This window comes from Homo sapiens, chromosome 2 (genome assembly GCF_000001405.40).
Source record: "Homo sapiens chromosome 2, GRCh38.p14 Primary Assembly".
Taxonomy (NCBI): Eukaryota; Metazoa; Chordata; class Mammalia; order Primates; family Hominidae; genus Homo; species Homo sapiens.
The window spans coordinates 110,424,087-110,448,083 of NC_000002.12; the positions used below are offsets into that span (position 1 = coordinate 110,424,087).

At 42.2% G+C, this 23,997-nt stretch overlaps 1 protein-coding gene and 1 long non-coding RNA gene across 8 annotated transcripts in view; one reads left to right on the plus strand and one right to left on the minus strand.

Annotated features, from left to right (window-relative positions):
• Positions 1 to 23,997, minus strand: part of LIMS4 (LIM zinc finger domain containing 4) — a 113,949-nt gene that overhangs the window by 64,960 nt on the left and 24,992 nt on the right. For 4 of the 7 annotated variants that reach the window (XR_007068194.1, XM_017003105.3, XM_017003103.3 and 1 more), the window contains exon 9: positions 22,999 to 23,074. Coding sequence is in view for 5 of the 7 variants with exons in the window: in XM_017003105.3 (XP_016858594.1) it covers positions 22,999 to 23,074 (76 nt within the window). In the remaining 2 variants the exon portion in view is untranslated. Of the gene's footprint in view, positions 1 to 13,608; positions 14,335 to 21,796; positions 23,075 to 23,997 lie in introns of those variants that run through there. The other 3 variants (XM_047442254.1, NM_001371340.3, NR_038099.1) reach the window with 3 other exon arrangements.
• Positions 50 to 10,881, plus strand: LOC124906063 (uncharacterized). The gene is made up of 2 exons (XR_007087174.1): positions 50 to 380; positions 10,115 to 10,881. It is a non-coding gene; the product is annotated as an uncharacterized LOC124906063 (long non-coding RNA).

A 23,997-nucleotide genomic window follows, 5' to 3' on the forward strand; every position in this document is an offset into this window, starting at 1 on the left:
TGGGACTTTGTCCAGCTTTCTGATCAGTAGAATAGAAGGATGCCTTCCTCCAAGACCTGTTTGGAGAATTAAACCAGCTAATGTAGGAGCCACGGCTGCCGCTGGGGAGGGCCCAGTAATTATTAGTTCCCTCCCCGTCCTAGGGGACCCCCCAGGAGAGCGTAGTGTGGGCTCCTAGTGGGGCCTCTCGAGGCAAATACCTCCCGAGAGGGGGCGCGCGCCCTCCCCTCTTCCCATGGGGCGCCCCCAGTTCCAGCCTGACCTGGAACTCAGGGTTGCCAGAGCTGCTGAATTTTCAAGAGAAAGCGGAAATCTGAGTTTTAATGAGACCGCTCCTGATTTTTTAAAACGTTGATCATGAAGTTAAAACAATAATAATGGTAAGTACTTGCCGGCCAACTGTCAGGTAAGCCCTGGCGGGCAAAGCAGGTGGTCCTGGGCTCCTGTACCAACCAACTTCACTGACTCCTCCCAGAGGAGGGAGAGGCCTGGAGGGACTGTGACAATCCCTGTCACCTGGCATGAGGTGTGATGTCCCTCTGGGTGGTTCATCAAGACTTGGTGCTAGGCCAAGCCAGTGGCTCATGCCTGTAATCCCAGCATTCTGGGAGGCCAAGGCGGGAGTGACAAGTGAAGCCAGCTGGACTCCCTGAGTGCAGTGGGGACTTGGGGAACTTTTCTTACAAGAGGATTGTAAAATGCACCAATCAGGAACTTTTCTGTCTTACAAGAAAATTGTAAAACGCACCAATCAGTGCTCTGTAAAATGCACCAATCAGCGGTATTCTAAAAGTAGCCAATTGCGGGGAGGATTGAAAAAAGGGCACTCTGATAGGACAGAAACGGAACATGGGAGGGGCCAATAAGGGAATAAAAGCTGGCCACCACCCCAGCCGGCAGCGACAACTGCTTGGGTCCCGGTCAGCTTTGCGGAAGCTTTATTCTTTCTGTTTTCACAATAAACCTTGCTACTGCAGGGTCCCTGCCATCTTTAAGAGCTGTAACACTCACCAGCAAGGTCCATGGCTTCATTCTCGAAGACCAGGAACCCACCGGAAGGAACCAACTCCAGACACAAGAGGATTGTTCAAGCCCAAGAGTTTGATACCTGCCTAGGCAACATATCCAGACCAGATCTCTTTAAAAAAAAAAGAGCTGGGCATGGTGGCAAACCTATAGTGGGCTAGTCTAGGCAGAGATGAAGGATGGCTTGAGCTTAGGAGGTTGAGGCTGCAGTGAGTGGTGATTGCACCACTGTAATCCAGCCTGGGCAACAGCAATACTGCTCTCTAAACATAAAAAATTAAATAAAGACTTAGTGCTAGGTGCTGATTTCTGGCAAGTTCCAGGTGGGAGACTGGCAGGCAGCATTATAGTCCTCTAAGAGAATTCAAACCCTAATTTCTGGGACTATGAATCTGTTACTTTACAAGGCAAAAGAGCCTTGTGGACAGGTTTCTAATCAGTTGACTTTAAAATAGGGAGGTTATCCTGGATTTATCTGGGTTGGCCTGGTGGAATCACCCTTAACCCCTAAAGAGCAAGACAGGGGAGAGGAGACATTTGAAGCTTATGAAAGACTCAGCGTGCCTGGATGGGACGCTGTTGCCTCGAGGATGAAGAGAACTGCAAGGAACTAAAGTTCTGCTGACAATTTGAATGAGCTCGAAAGTGAATTCTTCCCCAGGGCCTTGCAGAAAGGAACACAATTTGCTGACACCTTTATTCCCACCTTGTGAGACACCGAGCAGAGAATCCATGTGGCAATGTGTTATGCAGCATAGAAAACTAATACAGGACACTGACCTGCATTGCAACACCAGAATTGTGTCCTAGCTGGAGGCTGGCCTGCAATGAGAACTGCATGTGGCCACAGTTTCTCGGCAGGCATGCCAGGCATGGCACTTCACCCCTCTCCTCTGACTGTTACCACTCAGTTCTAACATCCCCTGAGAGCCCTTCCTCAACTTCTCCAGGCCAACAGGTGGCTTCCTTTCTGTGCTCACCACACCCTTCGTGAAAACAGCTACTTGGTGCTTCCTTTGATCTATGTGCACATGTTGCCTGCTTCCCACCAGGCCACAAGCACCTGTGGGAGGAAGGGAACTGGAAACATTTGTCTTTGAATCCCAAGCCCCGGGCAGACAGCAGGCATATGGTGGCTGAAATGGTAAAGTGAAATTTCTACCAGTGTGTAATCAAAGGTCCTTGTCTACAAGGTATCTTAATTACCTTTTTTAAAAAAGAAATTCAGTAGTTTTGGGGGAACTGGTGGTTTTTGTTACATAGATAAGTTCTTTAGTGGTGATATCTGAGATTTTGGTGCACACATCATCCGAGCAGTGTACGTTGTGCCCAATACGTAGTTTTTTATCCTTAACCACCCTTCCCCCATTTCTCCGGTGTCCCCAAAGTCCAATTTGTAATTCTTATGCCTTTGAATCCTCGTAGCTTAGCTTCCAGTTATAAGTGAGAATATACAATATTTGGTTTTCCATTCCTGAGTTACTACACTTAGAATAATGGTTTCAAACTCCATGAGGTTGCTGTGAATGCCATTATTTCATTCATTCTTATCACTGAGTAGTATTCCATGGTGTATATGTATATATATGTACACATATACACCACGTTTTCTTTTTCCACTCATTGGTGGATGGGCATTTAGGCTGGTTCCAAATTGTTGCAATTGTGAGTTGTGCTGCTATAAACATGAGTGTGCAATATCTATTTCATGTAATGACTTCTTTTCCTCTGGATAGATACCCAGTGGTGGGATTACTGGATCAAATGGTAGTTGTACTTTTAGCTCTTTAAAAAATCTCCACAGTGTTTTCTATAGTGGTTGTACTAGTTTACATTCCCAACAGCAGTGTAAAAGTGTTCCCTTTCCACCACATCCACATCAACATCTATTGTTTTTTGATTTTTAAATTATGGCCATTCTTGCAAGAGTAGGTAGTATCTCATTGTGGTTGTAATTTGCATTTCCCTGATAGTGATGCTGAGCATTTTTTCATGTGTGTGTTGGCCATTTGCACATCTTCTTTTGAGAATTGTCTATTAATTTCCTTTGCCCACTTTTTGATGGGATTATTTGTTTTTTTCTTGCTGATTTGTTTGAGTTCCTTGTAGATTCTAAATATTAGTCCTTTGTGAGATGCATAGTTTGAGAATATTTTCTCCCTCTCTGTGGGTTGTCTGTTTACTCTGCTGATTATTTCTTTTGCTATGCAGAAACTTGTAACTTAATTAGGTCCAATGTATTTATTTTTGTTTTTGTTGCATTTGCTTTTGGGTTCTTGGTAGTTAACGAACTCTTTGCCTAAACCAATGTCTAGGGTAGTTTTACTGATGTTATCTTCTGGAATGTTTATGATTTTGGGTCTTAGATTTTAAGTCTTTTTTCTTTTCTTTTCTTTTCTTTTTTTTTTTTTTTTTTGAGACAATCTCACTCTGTCACCCAGGCTGGAGTGCAGTAGAGCAATCTCCGCTCACTGCAACTCCCAACTCTCAGGTTCTCATGCCTGAGCCTCCCTAGTAGCTGGGATTACAGGCACCCATCACCACGCCTGACTAATTTTTTGTATTTGTGGTAGAGACAGGATTTCACCATGTTGGCAAGGCTGGTCTTGAACTCCTGACCTCATGTGATCTGGCCACCTTGGCCTCCCAAAGTGCTGGGATTACAGTTGTGATCCCCCATGCTCGGCCTAGATTTAAGTCTTTGATCCATCTTGAGTTGATTTTTGTATAAGTTGAGAGATGAGGATTCAGTTTTACCCTTCTACATGTGGCTTCCCAGTTATCCCTGCACCATTTGTTGAATAGGGTGTCCTTTCCCCACTTTATGTTTTTGTTTGCTTTGTCAAAGATCAGTTAACTGTAAGTATTTGGCTTTATTTCTGGGTTCTCTATTCTGTTCCATTGGTCTACTTGCCTGTTTTCATACCAGTACCATACTGTTTTGGTAACTACAGCCTTGTAGTATAAAGTCAGGTGATGTGATGCCTCCAGATGTGTTCTTTTTGCTTAGTCTTGCTTTGGCTATGTAGGGTCTTTTTTGGTTCCATTTGAATTTTAGGATTGCTTTTTAAAGCTCCATGAAAAATGCTGATGGTATTTTGATGGGAATTGCATCGAATCCATAGACTGCTTTTGGCACCATGATCATTTTCACAGTATCGAGTCTACCCATCCATGAGCATGGAATGTGCTTCCATTTGTTTGTGTTATCAGTGATTTCTTTCTGTCTTGCAGTTTTTCTTGTAGAGATATTTCGCCTCCTTGGTTCAGTATATTCCAAAGTATTTTATTTTATTTTTTGCAGCTGTTGTAAAAGGGATTGAGTTCTTGATTTGTTTCTCAGTCTTGTTGTTGGTGTACAGCAGTGCTACTGATTTGTGTACATTGATTTTGTATCCTAAAACTTTATTGAATTCATTTATCAGATCTATGAGCTTTTTGGGTGAGTCTTTAGGCTTTTCTAGGCATACAATTATATCATCGGTGAACAGCAACAGTTTGACGTCCTCTTTACTAATTTAGATGCCCTTTATTTCTTTCTGTTGTCTGATTGCTTTGGCTAGAACTTCCAGCACTACGCTGGATAAAAGTTGTGAAAGTGGGCATCTTTGTCTTGTTCCAGTTCTCAGGAAGAAAGCTTTCAACTTTTCCCCATTCAGTATCATGTTGGCTGTGGGTTTGTCATAGATGGCTTTTATAACCTTGAGGTATGTCTCTTGTATACCAGTTTTGCTGGATTTTATCAAATGCTTTTTCTGCATTGATTGAGATGATCATATGATTTTTGTTTTTAATGCTGTTGATGTGATGTGTCACATTTGTTGACTTGTGAATGTTAAACCATCCTTGCATTTCTGGTATGAAACCCACTTGATCCTATTGTATTACCTTTTTGATATGCTGTTGGATTCAGTTAGCTAGTATTTTGTTGAGTATTTTTGCATCTGTGTTCATCAGGGATCTTAGTCTGTAGTTTTCTTTTATTGTTATGTCCTTTCCCAGTTTTGGAATTAGGATGATACTGGCTTCATAGAATGATTTATGGAGGAGTCCCTCTTTTTCTATCTTTTGGAATAGTTTCAGTAAGATTGGTATCAATTCTTCTTTGAATGTCTAATAGAATTCACCTGTCAGTCCATCTGGTTCTGGACATTTTTTTGTTGGCAATTTTTTTTATTATTGTTTCAATCTTGCTAATTATTGGTCTGTTCAGAGTTTCTATTTTTTCGTGATTTAATATGGGAGGAATTTATCCATCTCTTCCAGATTTTCTAATTTGTGTGCATAAAAGTGTTCATAGTAGCCTTGAATGATCTTTTGTATTTCTGGGGTATTGGTTGTAATATCTCCAGTTTCATTTCTAATTGAGCTTATTTGGATCTTCTATCTTCTTGGTTAATCTCAGTAATGGTCTATCAATTGTGTTTTATCTTTTCAAAGAAACTGCTTTTTGTTTCATTTATGTTTTGTGTTTTTAATTTTAATTTCATTTAGTTCTGCTCTGATCTTTGTTATTTACTTTTTTTCTGCTGAGTTTGGATTTGGTTTGTTTTTGTTTCTCTAGTTCCGTGAAGTATGATGTTAAATTGCCTACTTGTGCTCTTTCAGACTTTTTGATGTAAGCATTTAATGCTTTAAACTTTCCTCTTAGCACCACTTTTGCTGTATCCCAGAGGTTTTGATAAGTTGTTTCACTGTCATTGTTCAACTCAAAGAATTTTTAAATTTCCATCCTGATTTCATTGTTGACCCAAACATCATTCAAGAGCAAATTATTTAATTTCCATGTATTTGTATAGTTTTAGGGGGTCCTTTTGGAGTCGTTTCCAGTTTTATTCCACTGTGGTCTGAGAGAATACTTTATATAATTTCAATTTCCTTAAGTTAACTGACTTGCTTTGTGACCTATCATATGGTCTATTTTGGAAAATTTTCTATGTGCTGAAGAAAAGAGTGTATATTTTGCAGTTGTTGGGTAGAATCTTCTGTAAATATTTGTTAAGTCCATTTGATCCAGAGTTAGTTTAAGTCCATTGTTTCTTTATTGACTTTCTGTCTTGATGACCTGTCTAGCACTGTCAATGGAGTATTGAAGTCCCCCACTATTACTATGTTGCCTTCTATTTCATTTCTTAGGTCTACTAGTAATTATTTTATAAATTTGGGAGCTTCAGTGTTCGGTGCATATGTATTTATGATTGTAATATTTTCCCATTTAACTATTTCTTTTATCATTGTATAATGTGCCTATTGTCTTTTTTTTACTGTTGTTGCTTTGAAGTGTGTTTTGTCTGATATAAGAATAGATACTCCTGCTCACTTTTGGTTTCCATTTGCGTGGAATATCTTTTCCCACCTCTTTACCTTAAATTTATGTGAGTCCTTATACATTTAAGTGAGTCTCTCAAAGACAGCACACACTTAGTGGTGGATTTTTATTCATTCTGCCATTCTGTGTCTTTTAAGTGGAGCATTTAGGCCATTTACATTCAACATTAGTATTGAGATGTGAGGTACTGTTCTATTCATCATGCTAGTTGTTGCCTTAATAATTTTTTTCATCGTGTTATATAGGCCCTGTGAGATTTATGCTTTAAAGAGGTTCTATTTTGATGTATTTCAAGGTCTTGTTTCAAGGTTTGGAACTCCTTTTAGCATTTCTGGTAGTGCTGGCTTAGTAGTGGCAAATTCTCTCAGCATTTGTTTGGCTGAAAAATACTTTTCTCTTTTTCATTTACGATGTTTAGTTTTGCTGGATACAAAATTCTTGACTGACAATTATTTTGTTTCAGGAGGCTAAAGGTGGGACCCCAATCTCTTCTGGGTTGTAAGGTTTCTGCTGAGAAGTCTTCTGTTAATCTGATAGGTTTTCCTTTATAGGTTATCTGGTGCTATTGTCTCACAGCTCTTAAGATTGTTTCCTCTGTCTTGGCTTTAGATAACCTGATGACTATGTGCCTAGGTTATGGTCTTTTTGCAATGAATTTCCCAGGTGTTCTTTGAGCTTCTTGTATTTGGATGTGTAGATCTCTGTCAATGCTAGGGAAGTTTTCCTCAATTATTCCCTCAAATTAGTTTTCCAAAATTTTAGATTTCTCTTCTTCCTCAGGAACACCAATCATTCTTAGGTTTGGCCATTTAACATAATCCCAAGTTTCATGGAGGCTTTGTTCATTTTTTAAAATTATTTTTCCTTTGTCTTTGTCTGATTGGGTTAATTTGAAAGCTTTGTCTTTGAGCCCTGAAGTTCTTTTTTATACTTGTTCAAGTCTGTAGTTAAAATGTTCCATTGCATTTTGTGTTTCTCTAGGTGTCTTTCATTTCCAGAAATTGTGATTGTTTTTTCTTTATGATATCTATTTTCCTGGATAAATTTTCACTCATATCCTGTATTTTCTTATTTCTTTATTTTATTTATTTATTTATTTATTTTGGGTCACTCTGTCACCCAGGCTGGAGTGCAGTGGTGCAACCTCGGCTCACTGCAACCTCCACCTCCCGGATTCAAGCAATTCTCCTGCCTCAGCCTCTCGAGTAGCTGGGATTACAGGTGCCCACCACCACACCCGGCTAATTTTTGTATTTTTAGTAGAGACGGGGTTTCACCGTGTTAGCCAGGATGGTCTTGATCTCCTGATCTTGTGATCCACCTGCCTCGGCCTCCAAAAGTGTTGGGATTACAGGCGTGAGCCACCACACCTGGCCTTCAATTTCTTTACGTTCGTTTTCACCTTTCTCTAGTATCTCTTTGAATAGCTTAATAATTGACCTTCTGAATTATTTATCTGACAATTTAAAGATTTCTTCTTGGTTTGGATCCATTGCTGGCGAGCCAGTATGATCTTTTGAGGGTGTTCTAGAACCCTGTTTTGTCATATTACCAGAATTACTTTTCTTCCTTCTCAATTGGGTAGACTAATACAGTGGGGAGATCTGAAAGTCAAGGCCTGCTGTTCAGATTCTCTTGTCCCACTGGGTAACCCCTTGATGTAGTGCTCTCCCCTTTCTTCTAGGAATGGGGCTTCCTGAGAGCTGGACTGCAGTGATTGTTATTTGTCTTCTGGGTCTAGCTACCAGTGAGGATACCAGGCTCTGGACTGGTCCTGGGGGATGTCTGCAAAGATTCCTGTGATGTGATCTGTCTTCAGGTCTCCAAGCCATGGATACCAGCACCTGCTCTGGTAGAGGTGGCAGGGAAGTGAAGTAGACTCTGTGAGAGTCCTTGGTTATAGATAGGTTTAGTGTGCTGGCTTTCTTGAATGCTGGTTGTCATAACAGTGAAATTGTCACGTGGACATCTTCAGGACCTCTGTTTAGCCAGGATGTTGCAGGCAGTAGAATTAGGTGTTGTCTTCTCCTTCCTAAGATCAGCATTATTCTGTCATGAGTTGCTGTAATGGCTTGAGTTGGTTGGCCTCCAGCGACGAGGTGGCACTTTCAAGAGAGCACCAGCTGCCATAGTAGTAGGGGGCTCTAAGCTTGTCCTAAGGTGGCCAGGGTAAGCATTTTGGTTTCTCAGGTGATGGGCATGGCCATAAAGCTCCCAAGAGGTTCTGTGTTTTGTGCTGGGCTACCAGGGTGGCTAGGGAAATACCATCAAGTGGGGGCAGGGTTAGGTGGGTCTGGGGTCAGACTCTCCTTGGACAGGGCTTGCAGTAGCCACTGTGGGGGAATGAAGGAGTGGTTCTTAGGCTAATGGAGTACTGTTCTAGAGTGGATCTTGGCCCTCTGCTGTGTTATATAGTTTGCCAGGAAAGCATTGGATAGCCCTTAATACGAGCTCTCGCCCAGTTCCCAAGCAGTTGGCGAGGTCGGTCTCACTCCCACAGTGCTCCTGCTCAGGCCGTGAGCTACCCTGCTGAGAAAGCAAGCGTGGCTTAAGGACCTCACCCCTCCCTGTCTGCCCACTCTGCCAGCAGCAGCTCCTGCACTCCTGCACTCGCTTGCTTGTATCCACAGCAGTTCCCGCTCATCCTCCAGACTCTGCTCGAGAAAGTTTGTGCCCGGTCAAAACCACTACCAATTTCAGTTGAGAGCTTCCTTTGCCCTGCAACTCCTCTCCAGTTCCACTGGCTGCCTTCCCTGAGTGGCTGTGTGAGATACAGTCAGGGATGGCTTCCTAGGGCTCAAGCTGGAGACTGGGAGTCCATTCAAGGCACTTCCCACTACTACTCTCATACTTTTATTTTTCTTACATCTCCCTAAACTCATTTCATCTCTGGTTAAGGTTAAATCCTTCTCCTATGATCTGGATTTTTAGATTCCCCAGTGGGGATGTGTGTTCAAAGGTAGGTTTCCCCCTTCTTACACTTTGGGAACTCACAGTTTTTCTCCTGTTCCACAGAATTTACAGTGGTGTGCGTCTTCTTTCAAAGGATCCGTGAATTCTTTTGGTTTTCCCAGTACGTTCCTATGATAGTTCTTGGAGCACAACAGGGTCACAGTGTGAGTCTCCACATGGTGTTTTGTCCATCCATGTGGGAGCTACACATTAGCACTGCCTCCTATCTGCCATCTTCCCCTGATCTCAACAATTACCTTTTATAACTGTTTATTGCGTGGATTACCAGAAAACTCTCTGGTGCTCTTGAGAAAGGACAAATATTCTAGGTCTATCCTAAGTGGTGACTTAAGGAATGATTGTTTTATGGCAAGATCTTTTAAAATGGCTTTATTTTTTAAAAAAGATAAATATGTTCATTGTAAAGAGTTGAAACTACTAATCAAAGTTAATCACTTGCACACACTTAAACACACTTGTATGCAGCTCTGTGGAGATGGGATTACATCCTACACCACAGACACTGCTGACCTCTGACCTACTATCCACACGCTTCCCACCCAAGATCCCAGACTTGGGTCAGGCATTCATCTCATCTCTCTCTTTAGAGGAGGATCCTGCTTAGTCCAGGCCAATCCACACAGGGCATTTTCCTGGCAACAGTTACCTATCTAAGGGAAGTACATGACTTTAGTTGGCTCAGCCTGACTAAAAAGAGCCATGAGCTTAGGGGGAGAGGTTTTCTTCTTCTCTTCCCTCCCCTTTTCCTATGAATGTAATTTTTAAAAAACCACATATTCCTAACAGCTTCTCCAGCCACCTTGGGTGAAGATGACACTGTGGATGGCAGAGGAGGAAGATACAAACAGCCAGGTCTCTGATGGCCTCTTCAAGAGACTACTTTTTGGTACCTGCATTCTTGGAACCATTTGGACCAACCTTCAGACTTAGAATTATGTGAGCTATATTGTATGACCCAGGAGACAGAATGAGGTGATCTGTACAGCCAATAGGAAAAGATCTACAAAATATCAAATGAGGATGGGAAGATAGTACCCTGCAGAGTTTGATTTATGCAGAATTTTAAAGGATGCATATACTTACATTTTCTGATAAATGCATAAAATATTTTCCTGGAAAGATCCATAAGTAAACTGTAATCAGTGCTTACCTTTGAGAATACAGCAGGAAGTAGAGGCATGAAGGGAAAGGGACTTTTTCTTCTCATTTTGTACTTGTCTATAAGTTTTTTTTGTTTTGTTTTGTTTGTTTGTTTTGAGACGGAGTTGCGCTCTGTTGCCCCGGCTGGAGTGTAGTGGCCTGATCTGGGCTCACGACAAGCTCCGCCTCCCAGGTTCATGCCATTCTCTTGCTTCAGCCTCCCTAGTAGCTGGAACTACAGGATAAGGTTTCATTTTTAACTGTATGCCTACATTACTTGTATGTGTTTGCAGAAAGTAAAATCAACAGAGATGTGGTGATAGAATCTAATAGCAATTTTGTCATTTTCATGAACAAATATTTTATGCAATGGAAAATATTAAAACTCTGGGAATAAAGCGTGTTAATGCCTGTTCCTGGTTGCATATCTGCCAGTGGGGAGAATGCATCCTTGCAGGGTGAGGAGTCAGCCTTAGAAAGCAAGGCCTTTAGGAACCAGTTACCACTAAGCATACCCTATAACAACTCTTTGAGGTGCTGGTTTAGTCTGCTCAGGCTGCCATAACCAAGTACTCCCAGCCAAGTGGCTTAAACAGTAGAAATGTGTTTCCTTACAGTTCTGGAAGCCAAAATTCTGAGATCAGGATGCGGCAGGGTTGGTTTACAGTAAGGGCTCTCTGCTTGGCTGGTAGCTGGCCATCTCCTCTCTGTGTCTTCACACGGTGCTCCCTCTGTGTGTATCTGTGTCCAAGTTTCCTCTTCTAATAAGGACAGTCCTATTGGATCAGGGCCTGCTCTAAGGACCTCATTTTACTTGGATTACCTCTTTAAAGACCCTACCATATTCTGTGATACTGGGGGTTAGGACTTCAACACATGAATTTTGAGGAGATACAATTCAGCCCATAAGAAGTACTGATTACAACATCCACATTAGAGCTTAGGAAATGCAGGTTCAGAGAGGAGCATCAGACTGCCTCAGGTCACACAGCTTGAAAATGGCAGCACTGGGATTGCAAACCCAGACCTACTAGCACAGAGGCATCTCTACTCTACTCTGCAGCTACTAGGTAGTTTCAGCTGGGAAAATGAACAAAGTCCATATTCAGCCTGAGAATTCCACCCAATTCTATTTGCCAGTTATCCCCTAGATTCCACAGGATTTTGTGGAATTCTTTTTAAAACACTGCAATGTGACAATCAAGAGGTAGGGGCAAAGTCAACAGTGGTGGTTGAAAATAGAGGCCAAACCTTCTCCAATGCCTTCACAAGGCAGGGCACGCAGGAGCCCTGCTGTCTTTGGCTCCATCTCCTTCCCCTTCCCCTCACTCACTCCACTCCACTCCAGCCTCAATGGCTTCCTTTATGCTCCTCAAACATTCCCCAGGGCCTTTGCTCTAGCTATTCCCTTAGCCTGGATGATGCATTCCCCAGACACCCAAGTGTTTGCTCAGATCGTACCTTCTTAGGGAGGCAGACCCTGATCCCCACCCTACTGAACTCTTCAGCCCACCGCTGCCCTCCTGCTCCCCTCCCCCTTGATCTTTTACTTCCTTGCATTGCCCTTATCACCTTCTGCCACACGATATGATTCTTTATATCTTCCATTTATTCTTAACTATCTGTGTACTCCTGATAGAACACAATCTCCACAAGGGTGGAGATCTTTAATTTGTGCACAGGTATTTCCCAAGCACCTAAAATAGTGTCCAGAAAACAGAAGGTTTTCAAAAACTGTTTGTTGAATGAGACTTTCTGTAAGTGGTGTGGAATGGTTTCCATTAAGAGGGGACTGGTGGGAAAAAGTGGAACCTTCACATAATGGAGTACTGTTCAGCCATAAAAAGAAATGGAGTCTGTCTCTGGATACTATGAAGTGATGGCCAGGATATATTCAGTGAAAAAGCAAGGTAGAGATAAATGTGTATAGCATATTGCTATTCATCTAAGATAGAATATGAATATATAAACATATTTGCTTATATTAAAATACCAAAGGCAGGACATACTAAAAACTTCTTTCAAAGTTATCTTTGGAAGAATGAGGAAAAGGACTCACCCTTAATGCTCAGATTGTAGTCCTTAAATAGCCTATTTTACAAGAAGAAGCAGAGATCCTTGGAGAAATGGATGATTCCAGGTCTGGAGAAGGAAATACACAAATAAACCTAAAACATCTTGTCATACCAGGAACCAAGGAGGCTGTCTGAGATGGCTAGCAGCATGTCCGAAGGGCTCAGGGACAAAATTAAAGAGCTTCTGCTAGCCAGAATAAGGCCATTTCTCCACCAATAAGGATAATAATGGCAAAACATTGAAACATATTAAGTATGCTAAAAGTCTGTGCATTTCTAATGATACAGATATATAACTAGAGAATGCTTAGAAAATCACTTCATTATTTAGAAAACTGGTAAGCAGAGGGGAAGATTCAAGCATCTTGAAAGGTGGGATACTGCTTTTCTGAGTCAAACTATATTCAGAGTAACCAAACTGTAGATAATGGAAAGCTTCTCTTTATTGAAGTATTCCAGCTGAGAAATGAAAAAGAAATGTACAATTAAAATATAACCACAAGCAATCCCTGATGAGTTAGTGGATATGGGCAATGACCATCAGTGACTACTAACATCACACAAAAAAGAAAAATGTCTTTTTCTCCCAATGCGAGAACACACTAACACCTAAGACACACTTTTGCCAAAAATTAGAACTTGAATCTGTCCAGGTCTCCAGTTCTAATGCTGAGTTTTGAGGAATACAGGCAACCAAGGAATGTGCTAAATGACACCAGAGGGATGTAATTAATAAAATCCAGATTGCAGAAAACTCTAGAGGACAAACCATCCATTTTCAACAAACAAACAAACAAACAAAGGGGAGTGGAGAGAAATCTATAGATCAAAAGAAATTTTTAAAAAATTTTTTGAGACAGGGTCTCACTCTGTCACCCAGAATGGAGTGCAATGGTCCAGTCATAGCTCACTGCAACTTCGAACTCCTAGGCTCAAGCCATCCTCGCACCTCAGCCTCCAGAGTAGCTGGGACTACAGGCATGTGCCACCATGCCCGGCTAGTTTTTTAAATTTTTTTTGTAGAGACGGAGTTTCACTCTGTTGCCCAGGCTCGTCTTGAATTCCTAGCCTCAAGTAATCCTCCTGCCTCAGCCTCCCAAAGTGCTTGGATTACAAGCATGAGCCAGCCTCAAAAGAGACTTAAAAGACATATTGGCCAATTGGCCAATTTCAATTTGGATCCTAGTTTGAACAAAAAAATTGTTAAAAAAATTATGTGACAGAGAAAATTGAACTAACTGGATATTTGATAATTTTAAAGGATTATTACATTTTTAGATGTGATAATGATGTTGTTATTACATTTTATAAAGAAGTCTTACTTTTTAGAGATGATCATATCTTTTTAGAGATGTTTATGCATAAAATGATGAGGAGTGAGGGGGCATACAAATGGAACATGGTTGACTATGAGTTAATCAGTGTGAAGCTGTATGACAGTGGCATGAGAGTTTATTATATTTTTCTTTCTACTTTTGTATATATTTTAAATTATCCATAATATATTTTTAAAATGTACAACTCTTTCCAATTTGACTCCTTAAATTTAGCAGCATTAATATTGAGAGTTACTTTAAGATATCCCCTAAAATTCCTGGGATTTTCATGGTCACACATCAGGTACCCAATAGCTACATGTTCCTGTCTCTAAAATATGGTGAAAAACATCTGACCTGTTTGGAGGCATCACCCAGTTGTTTGGAGGCAAACTTGTGCACAGTAGTGATCTCCTCGGTTCACTCTGAGTCATCAATTCTGGAGCTCTCAGTTTGTGGAGAAATTTTCTAGAAACTGGAGAGAGAGGGGTAAAATAATAGGAGACATACAATAAAGCCAATGACACCATAATGGGGCTGTCAGGAGGCAGAAAAGGAGACGAGCAAAAAGAAACAAACAACATAAACATATGGATACATAATAAGTAAGAGTTACATCAGCGTTTCCCAAACCTGGCTGCCAGGTAGAATCATTTGCAGCACTTGTTTAAAATTTAGATGCCCAAATCCTGTCTCTGAAAATGCTGACTTAGGTCTGGTGTTGGGTCCCCTGCACTGTATTTTGAAACAAGTCCACAGGTGGTTTCCATTCCTGGTAGAGTAGGGGAGCCACTGATCTGCACTGCTAATTACAAACAATTCACCAGGGTTTTTGGGGGGCTTACAGTGGCTGTAGTCTTCAAACCTGGTATTTTCAAAATCCATTACCTCAGCATGGGAAAAAAGACTAGAAAAATAAAGCCCTGGTGAGCAGGGAATTAGATTTTTAGAAGTGTACTGAAACTCAAAAGTTGAAGTACATTTGATTCTCATTATTCTGGTTATAAAGTGACCACAAACAGTGAATTAGCAAATACTGAACCATTGCTCCTAGAGGACATACAGGTTTGGGTTCCTGCAAGTCTCTGGTCACAGTATTTTCATCAATCAGTCAATATACAACGTTGTTTTATGTGCCAAATTAACCGACGCAGAGCTCTAAATTATGCAGCTCAACTTCATATGAAATACAGGACAACAATCAGGTCTTTGGGGGTGGAGGTGGGAGGATGTATTGCTCTGCATTCAAGCAGTAAAAACATGTGACACTCAAATTAGGAGGATATGAGGAGAGTTTAATCAAAGGACTACTTACAAAGGTGGGGGTGGGGGGTGAAATGTAGCAGGTCCAGAACAATCTCTAGGGCTGGGGAGGCAGAGCTAGCACCACCCTCTCAGCCCTGTCCTCAGGCCCAAGGGAGAAGGGGGAGGAGCAACTCCTGCCTGGAGGAGAAGGGAGTATGGAGAGACACTGCCCTCAGAGGGGCAAGTGCAAAGTGAAAATGTGAGCCCTTCTGTCCAAAAAGCAGGCAAAACGTGACATTAAAGCATAAATTATTTTGTTGTTCCTCAGGTAAGTCTCCCCACTTCTCCTCTCTCCTTTTTCTCTTTTATCCTTTTCTCTTCCTCTCTCCTTGTCACATTGCTATTTATTTGCTATTTAATGTTACAGTCCCTCTTCCCTCTGGCATGGGGATAGTGCATATCTTAGGGGACAGTGCAGACCCTCAAAGATGTCTATGGGCCCCACCCTGCATCTCAATCCATACTGCTTAGCCTTATTCTTTCCCAACCATTCATTTTAAGTCTCAGCTTTTTGGGAGACTGAGGCAGGATAATTGCTTGAACCTGGGAGGCAGAGGTTGCAGTGAGCTGAGATGGAGCCACTGCACTCCAGCCTGGGCGAAAGAGCTCAGTAAAAGAAAAAAAATTACTAGTATGCTTAATGAAGATTTGTTCAGGTTTAAATGAGCAGTTAAGGCTAGGCATGGTGGCTCAAGCCTATAATCCCGGTGCTTTGAGAGGTCAAAGGGGGAGGATCACTTGAGGCCAGGAGTTTAAGACTAGCCTGGGCAACACAGTATGACCCTGTCTCTACAAAAAACTAAAAATTTAGCAGGGTGTGGTGGTGTACACCTGTAGTCTCAACTACCCAAGAGGCTGAGACAGAAGGATCACTTGAGCCCAGGAGTCCAAGGCTATAGTGACTTATAATTGCCACTGCCTATCAACCTGGGCAACAGAGCAAGACCCTGTCTCTAAAAAAAGTAAAATAAAATAAAATAATTAAACGAGCCATTAAGATATAAATGATATATGCATGCTGTGATTTAGTCTATGGATTTATTCTAAAATTGCTAAAATGTCACCATGTAGTGACCATGAAAATCCCTTCAAAAAATCAATGAATCCAGGAGCTGTTTTTTTGAAAAAATTAACAAAATAGATAGTCTGCTAGCTAGACAAATAAGGAAGAAAAGACAGAATAACCAAATTGACACAATAAAAAATGATGAAGGAAATATCACCATTGATCCCACAGAAATACAAACTACTCTCAGAAAGTACTGTAAACACCTCTACGCAAATAAACTAGAAAATCTAGAAGAAATGAATAAATTCCTGGAAACAAACACCCTCCCAAGACTAAATCAGGAAGAAATCGAATCCCTGAATACACTAATAACAAGTTCTGAAATTAAGGCAGTAATTAATAGCCTACCAATCAAAAAAAGCCTAGGACCAGACGGATTCACAGCCAAATTCTACCAGAGGTACAAAGAGGAGCTGGTACCATTTATCCTGTAACTATTCCAAACAATTGAAAAGGAGGGACTCCTCCCTAACTCATCTTGTGAGGCCAGCATCATCCTGATACCCAAACCTGGCAGAGACACAACAAAAAAAGAAAACTTCAAGCCAATATCCCTGATGAACATTGATGTGAAAATCCTCAATAAAATACTGGCAAACTGAATCCAGTAGCACATTAAAAAGTTTATTCACTATGATCAAGTTGGCTTCATCCCTTGGATGCAAGGTTGGTTCAACATATGTAAATCAATAAATGTAATCCATCACATAAACAGAATCAATGACAAAAACCACATGATTATCTCAATAGATGTAGAAAAAGCCTTTGATAAAATTGAACATCACTTCATGTTAAAAACTCTCAATAAACTAGGTATTGATGGAACATAAAATAATAAGAGCTATTTATGACAAACCCATAGCCAAGATTATACTAAATGGGCAAAAGCTGGAAGCATTCCCTTTACAAACCACCACAAGGCAAGAATGCCCTCTCTTACCACTCCCTTGAATACAGGGAATTTGACAAAAAGATGCCACAGATCTAAAACTGTGCCAACCCCAAGGCTGGAGGAACCAAGGTAAGAGTTTGGGGTTCTCAGAACCTTAATGATTGAAGAAATAGAAAGTGGGGCTGAAATTCTGAGAAGGAACCACCACCTGGCTGAGGGAGGGGTGTCTCAGAGGTGGGACGACCACCTGACTGTGCTGGTGTCTCTGGAGTGGAGGGTTTCTCAGAGGTGCAATGACCACCTGGCTGTGCTGGTGTTTCTGGAGTGGTGGAGGATCTCTCAGAGGTGGGACGACCACCTGACTGTGCTGGTGTCTCTGGAGTGGAGGAGGGTTTCTCAGAGGTGCAATGACCACCTGGCTGTGCTGGTGTTTCTGGAGTGGTGGAGGGATCTCTCAGAGGTGGAATGAGAGTCAGGCAATAATCCCAAACAAAAACATGAAATTTGTGTGGTTTTCATTTTGGTTTTGCTTTGTATTTTAGTAGAGACAGGTTTCCACCATGTTGGCCAGGCTGGTCTTGAACTCCTGACCTCGTGATCTGCCCACCTCAGCCTCCCAAAGTGCTGGGAATATAGGCGTAAGCCACTGCGCCCACCCTATCTTTTGGTTATTAATCCCTTATCAGATAGATAGTTTGCAGCTAATTTCTCCCCTTCTGTGGGTTTTCCCTTCACTTTTTTCCCTTATTGTTCAAAGCCAAGCTCAAGTCCTACCCCTTTGTGAAAACTTCCTTGACCACTCTACTACAGTGTTCGCTTTTTCTATCCTTTGAGTTCCTATCACATTACTATCCCATTCCTCTGGCATCAGTCATCTATTATGGCCTATCTTTTCTTGTACTATTCCCTTTTTTGTGGTTGCAATAGTATGGTGAGATAAAGGGCTCTTGCCTGGAGAGGCTTGGCAGGACTGTGTATGGTAGAATGGCTTTGATGAAACCCCCACCATCCAGGATCTGATTCTTAGCTGACAAGACACTGTGTTGTCAGTATCCCAAAAGCCAACCAATGTCTGACAATTAATCAGCAGATATTTATTGACTGCCTCTGCCACGTCAGGTGCTGTGCTAGGCATAGGTCCACGTTAGCTACCCGTGTCCAACTTCCTATCTCTCACCAGAGCTTAACCTCAACTAAATGGGATTTCTCAACATTCTCTTATCACACCAGGCTCTTCTTACAGGCGGGTCTCTTTGCCTAAAAAGCCCACTCACCCCCCACCCCGCCCTCCGCCCTTTCCCCTTTCTCCCTCTGGAAAGCTCCTTCCATGTCTTTCAAACCCCAGTGCAGCCTTCACCACCTTTGGGAAATCTTTGCAGATGCCCTACAATCACCCAGTCTCTCTGAGCAATCTCTGTATCCCATTCATATATATACATATATATACACACATATATATATATATATGTGTATATATATTTGTTGTTGTCGTTGTTGTTGTTGTTGAGATGGAGTCTCGCTCTGTCACCCAGGCTGGAGTGCACTGGTGCAATTGCAGTTCACTGCAACCTCTGCCTCCTGGTTTCAAGCAATTCTCCTGCCTCAGCCTCCTGAGTAGTTGGGACTACAGGTGCCCACCACCACACCCAGCTAATTTTTGTATTTTTAGTAGAGACAGGATTTCGCCACGTTGGTTAGGCTGGTCTTGAACTCCTGATCTCAGGTGATCCGCCTGCCTCGGCCTCTCAAAGTGCTGGGATTACAGGCATGAGCTACCATGCCTGGCCTCCCATTCATATTTCTAACATTGATTCTTATCACATTATATGCTGATGCTTTTTTTTTTCTTTTTCTTTTTTTTTTTTAGAAAGGTCTCACTTTGTCGCCCAGGCTGGAGTACAGTGGTATGATCATGGCTCACTGCAGCCTCGACGTCCTGAGCTCAGGGGATTCTTCCACCTCAGCCTCCCGAGTAGCTGGGACTACAGGTGCATGCTACCACACCTGGCTAATTTTTTGTATTTTTAGTAGAGATGGGGTTTCGTTGTGTTGCTCATGCTGGTTTTGAACTCCTGGACTCAAGCCATCTGCCTGCCTAGGCCTTCCAAAGGGCTGGGATTACAGGCGTGAGCCACCGTGCCTGGCCTCTGATGCACTTCTTTTTTTTGTGGTCCTCAACCTTTTTTGTGGTCCTTGACCTTTTTGGCACCATGGACCAGTTTCATGGAAAGCAATTTTTCCACAGACGGTGGTGGTGGAGATGGTTTCAGGATGATTCAAGCATATTACATTTATTGTGTACTTTGGAGATGGTTTCAGGATGATTCAAGCATATTACATTTATTGTGTACTTTACTTCTATTACTACATTGTAATATATAATGAGATAATTACACAACTCACTATAAGGTAGAATCTGTGGGGGTCCTGAGCTTGTTTTCCCGCAACTAGATGGTCTCATCTGAGGGTGATGGGAGACAGTGACAGATCATCAGGCATCAGATTCTCATAAGGAGCACCCAACCTAGATCCCTCACATGCACAGTTCACAATAGGGTTTGTGCCCCTATAAGAATCTGATGTGACCGATGATCTGACAGGAGGCAGATGGTGATGCAAGTGATAAGGAGAGGATGTAAATACAGAGGAAGCTTCACTTAGGGACCACTGCTCTAGTTGTTCTTTTTTTTTTTTTTTGAGACAGAGTTTCACTCTTGTTGCCCAGGCTGGAGTGCAATGGTGCGATCTCGGCTCTCTGCAATCTCCACCTCCTGGGTTGAAGCGATTCTCCTGACTCAACCTCCCAAGTAGCTGGGATTACAGGCATGTGCCACCATGCCCGGCTAATTTTGTATTTTTAGTAGAAACAGGGTTTCTCCATGTTGGTCAGGCTACTCTCGAACTCCCGACCTCAGGTGATCTGCCTGCCTTGGCCTCCCAAAGTGCTGGGATTACAGGTGTGAGCCATCACGCCTGGCCAGAATGTCACTAATTTTTATTGCAAGGGTAAATGGCTTCTGAGATCTAAAATTTTACCAGGCAGCGTGACTGGTTCATCAGAGTGAAGGCTTTACTTTTAACTCTACTAAGTTAGAATTTGTGATAATTAAGACAGGAGCTGCTTAAAAGCAGCTAAAGCTCAGCATGGCTCCATCTATGGGGAAAATTTTGCCAAAAAATTATGAAAACAATATTGTAGCATATGCATTTAATTGATTTAACAGAGCAAGTTCAAAAAATAAAGTTACCATTTCCTATTATTATAGAATTTTGGCAAGCTGAAAGCACCATCTGAAGAGTCCCCTTTCTCTACAAAAAAAAAAAAAAAAACTCCAAACAAAAAATTTAAAAACCATTTCCGTAACATTTTGATGTATTCCCTCCATCTTTTCAAAAGGCCATTTTGCACATATTTATGATCATGTATAGTATTTTAGATCGTGCTTTTACTATTATAAGTATTTCCCAAGTAGATTTTTTTTAATTTAATTTTTTTTTTCAGACAGGGTCTCACTGTCCCCCAGGCTGGAGTGCAGCGGTGCGATCATAGCTCACTGCAGCCTTGACCTGGGCTCAAGCCATCCTCAGTCTCCAGAGTAGCTGGTCGCCATAGGCATGTGCCACCATGCCTAACTTTTTGATTTTTTGTAGAGACGGGGTCTCATCACCACACCTGCCTAGTTTTTAATTTTTTGTAGAACTGGGGTCTTGCTATGTTGCCCAGGCTTGTCTTGGAACTCCTGGGCTCAAGCAGTCCTTCTGCCATGGCCTGGGATGCCCACTCCCTATCCTCCTTCCCCGCCTGGCCAACTTCTGTTCATCTCTCAAGATCCAGCTCCTCTAGGAAGCCTCCCCTCTCCTCCCCTCCCTGGGCTCCTGCCACTATGGTCTAGCATGCTCTGTGCTCACCCCATCCAACACTTCCCACAGGGAGATGTAATGACCTGTCTCACCTCTACAGGGAAGGAAATGGAATGCAAGACTCAGACAGAGCCCCCAGGATTCTCTACATTTAAGGTGGATGCAGAGCTGGGCAGACCAAGCACTGGAAGAGGAATGCCCTGGTAGTGGGTGTCTTCCCAGCACACTGCACACAGTGACTCAGGGCTTGCTGAATTTTTTATTAAGCTGTATATCTCCTTTCTTTTTTTTTTTTTTTTTTTTTGAGATGGAGTCTTTCTTACTCTGTCACCCAGGCTGGAGTGCAATGGTGCAATCTCAGCTCACTGCAACCTCTGCCTCCTGGATTCAAGTGATTCTACTGCCTCAGCCTCCCAAGTAGCTGGGACTACAGGTGCACACCACCACGCCCTACTAATTTTTGTATTTTTAATAGAGATGAGGTTTCACTGTGTTGGCCAGGCTGGTCTCAAACTCCTGACCTCAAGTGATCCACTGGCCTCGGCCTCCCAACGTGCTGGGATTACAGGTGTGAGCCACTGTGCCTGGCCTGTATCTCCTTTCTTAAGAATAATAATAATTAAAAAACCCAGCATTTACATTGAGTAGAGGGAAGACTACACCATTGTTCTAGATGGTTCAAAATTTGGCTTATCTATAGTAACCAGGTCATTTTATTCATTTACTTGTTTCTATTATATATTCATGAATACTTCAATTTTCATACGTATTTCATATATATACCATTCAAATTAAACAATATACAACAGGTTATTGTTAACAATTATAAACATTTATTAAGCACCAAGAATATACTGTGGTGGTTGCTATATGAAAACATAATTACCAATATAGTATCCCTACCATTGAGCTTACAATCTAAAACGAAATACAAGGCTATGAGCCTATCTAAAAACTTCCTTAACTTAGAAATGGCTACTTTGGCAAATGAGTGAGGCAAAATGACCTATTATTCAGATGCAGTGCTAATAAGGCTCTGAATATCATCCAAAGAATGTTTTACTCGTACCCATTGTTCCTGATTATGTTACACTTGCTAAGAAAAACAGTACTTAGAATTTTGGCATGAACAATGAATTATTTCAAATTGTCTTGTAGGACTTTAAACAAAGAGATGCTTACTGGCCTAAGTTTTCCAGCAGCCAGGGAAAGCCCTATTAAAAATATTATGAACTAGACCAAGTTTCTCTTTTAATCCACTTACACTTTTTTTTTTTTTTTTTTGAGACAGAGTCTTGCTCTGTCACCCAGGCTGGAGTGCAGCGGCGCGGTCTCGGCTCACTGCAAGCTCCGCCTCCTGGGTTCAAGCCATTCTCCTGCCTCAGCCTCCTGAGGAGCTGGGACTACAGGCGACCGCCACCACGCCTGGCTAATGTTTTTTTTGTATTTTTAGTAGAGATGGGGTTTCACCGTGTTAGCCAGGATAGTCTCGATCTCCTGACCTCGTGATCCGCTCCCCTTGGCCCAAATTTCTGATGACTACAAATACACGCCCAAAAGTTGCAGGGGGGGAAGAAAGCAAAAGACAGAAACAGAACAAAAACATATTCCAAAGGACTAACCAAAGGAGAAAGTAGTGAAAATGATGACACAGGGATAGAAAAGTTTACAAACAGACTGGCTTTTTCTTTTTCTGCTTGTCCTTATCCTTTGCTTCTCTCTCCCGTTTGGCAAGTCGCCTCTTAAATTCTTCTGGCATTTTCTCATAACAGTGTTTGCAGACTGGCTTTAGGTCAATTTCAACAAACTTATCCCTTTGAGTAGGACAAAGAAGGAATAGAAGAAAGAACAGGGAACAGTTAAAGGAAGAACCTTTACTTTCAGAAGGCCTGAACAGAAAGAGGAAATAAGAAATCAAATAATTCTCTTTTTCTAAATTCTAGGATTTTTTTTCAGTGTCCCCCCAAAGTTTTCAGTCTTAGGATTCACACTGGACAAAACCGTACACTTACTTGAGTGTTAATTTAGTGTTGCAGGTAGAACAGGCAAAGCAGTTCACGCACCAGGCCTTATTAAGAGCAGAGACCACTGGAGAAAGAGGAAAGAGATCTGGTCACATGGAAATACATCAGTATGGGGAGCAGGGCAGCTTAGAATTTCAACTCTAAAACAGAACTACGACTGTGTCTGTGGCACTTGGTGGAGGTTCTCAAGAACGTTTTTTTTAAAAAATGAGACAGGGTCTTGCTCTATAGCCCAGGCTGGAGTACAGTGGCACAATCTTGGCTCACTGTAGCCCCAACCTCCCAGGCTCAAGTGATCCTCCCACCTCAGCCTCCTGAGTAGCTGGGACTACAGTGCATGCCACTATACCTGGCTAATTTTTTTTTTTTTTTTTTTTGAGACAGAGTCTCGCTCTGTTGCCAGGCTGGAGTGCAGTGGCGCAATCACAGCTCACTGCAACCTCCGCCTCCTGGGTTCAAGCGATTCTCCTGCCTCATTTTCCCAAGTAGCTGGGACTACAGGCGCGTGCCACCATGCCCAGCTAATTTTTGTATTTAGTAGAGACGAGATTTCACCATGTTGGCCAAGATGGTCTTGATCTCTTGACCTTGTGATCCGCCCGTCTTGGCCTCCCAAAGTGCTGGGATTACAAGTGTGAGCCACTGCGCCCAGCCTATACCTGGCTAATTTTTGTATTTTTTATAGAGACACGGTCTTGCCATGTTTCCCAGGCCGGACTTGAACTCCTGGGCTCAAGCAATCTGCCTGCCTCGGTCTCCCAAAATGCTGAGATTATAGGCATGAGCCACCATGCCCAGCCAAGAACCTCTTTCTTGAGAGCTTCTTTTCTTTTGTTTTTCAGACAGGGTCTCGCTCTGTTGTCCAGGCTGTATTGCAGTGGTGCGATCACAGCTCGAACTCCTGGGCTCAAGCAATCTTCTCATCTCATTCTCCTGTGTAGCTGGGACCATAGGTGTGTGCTACCACATCTGGCTAATTTTTAATTT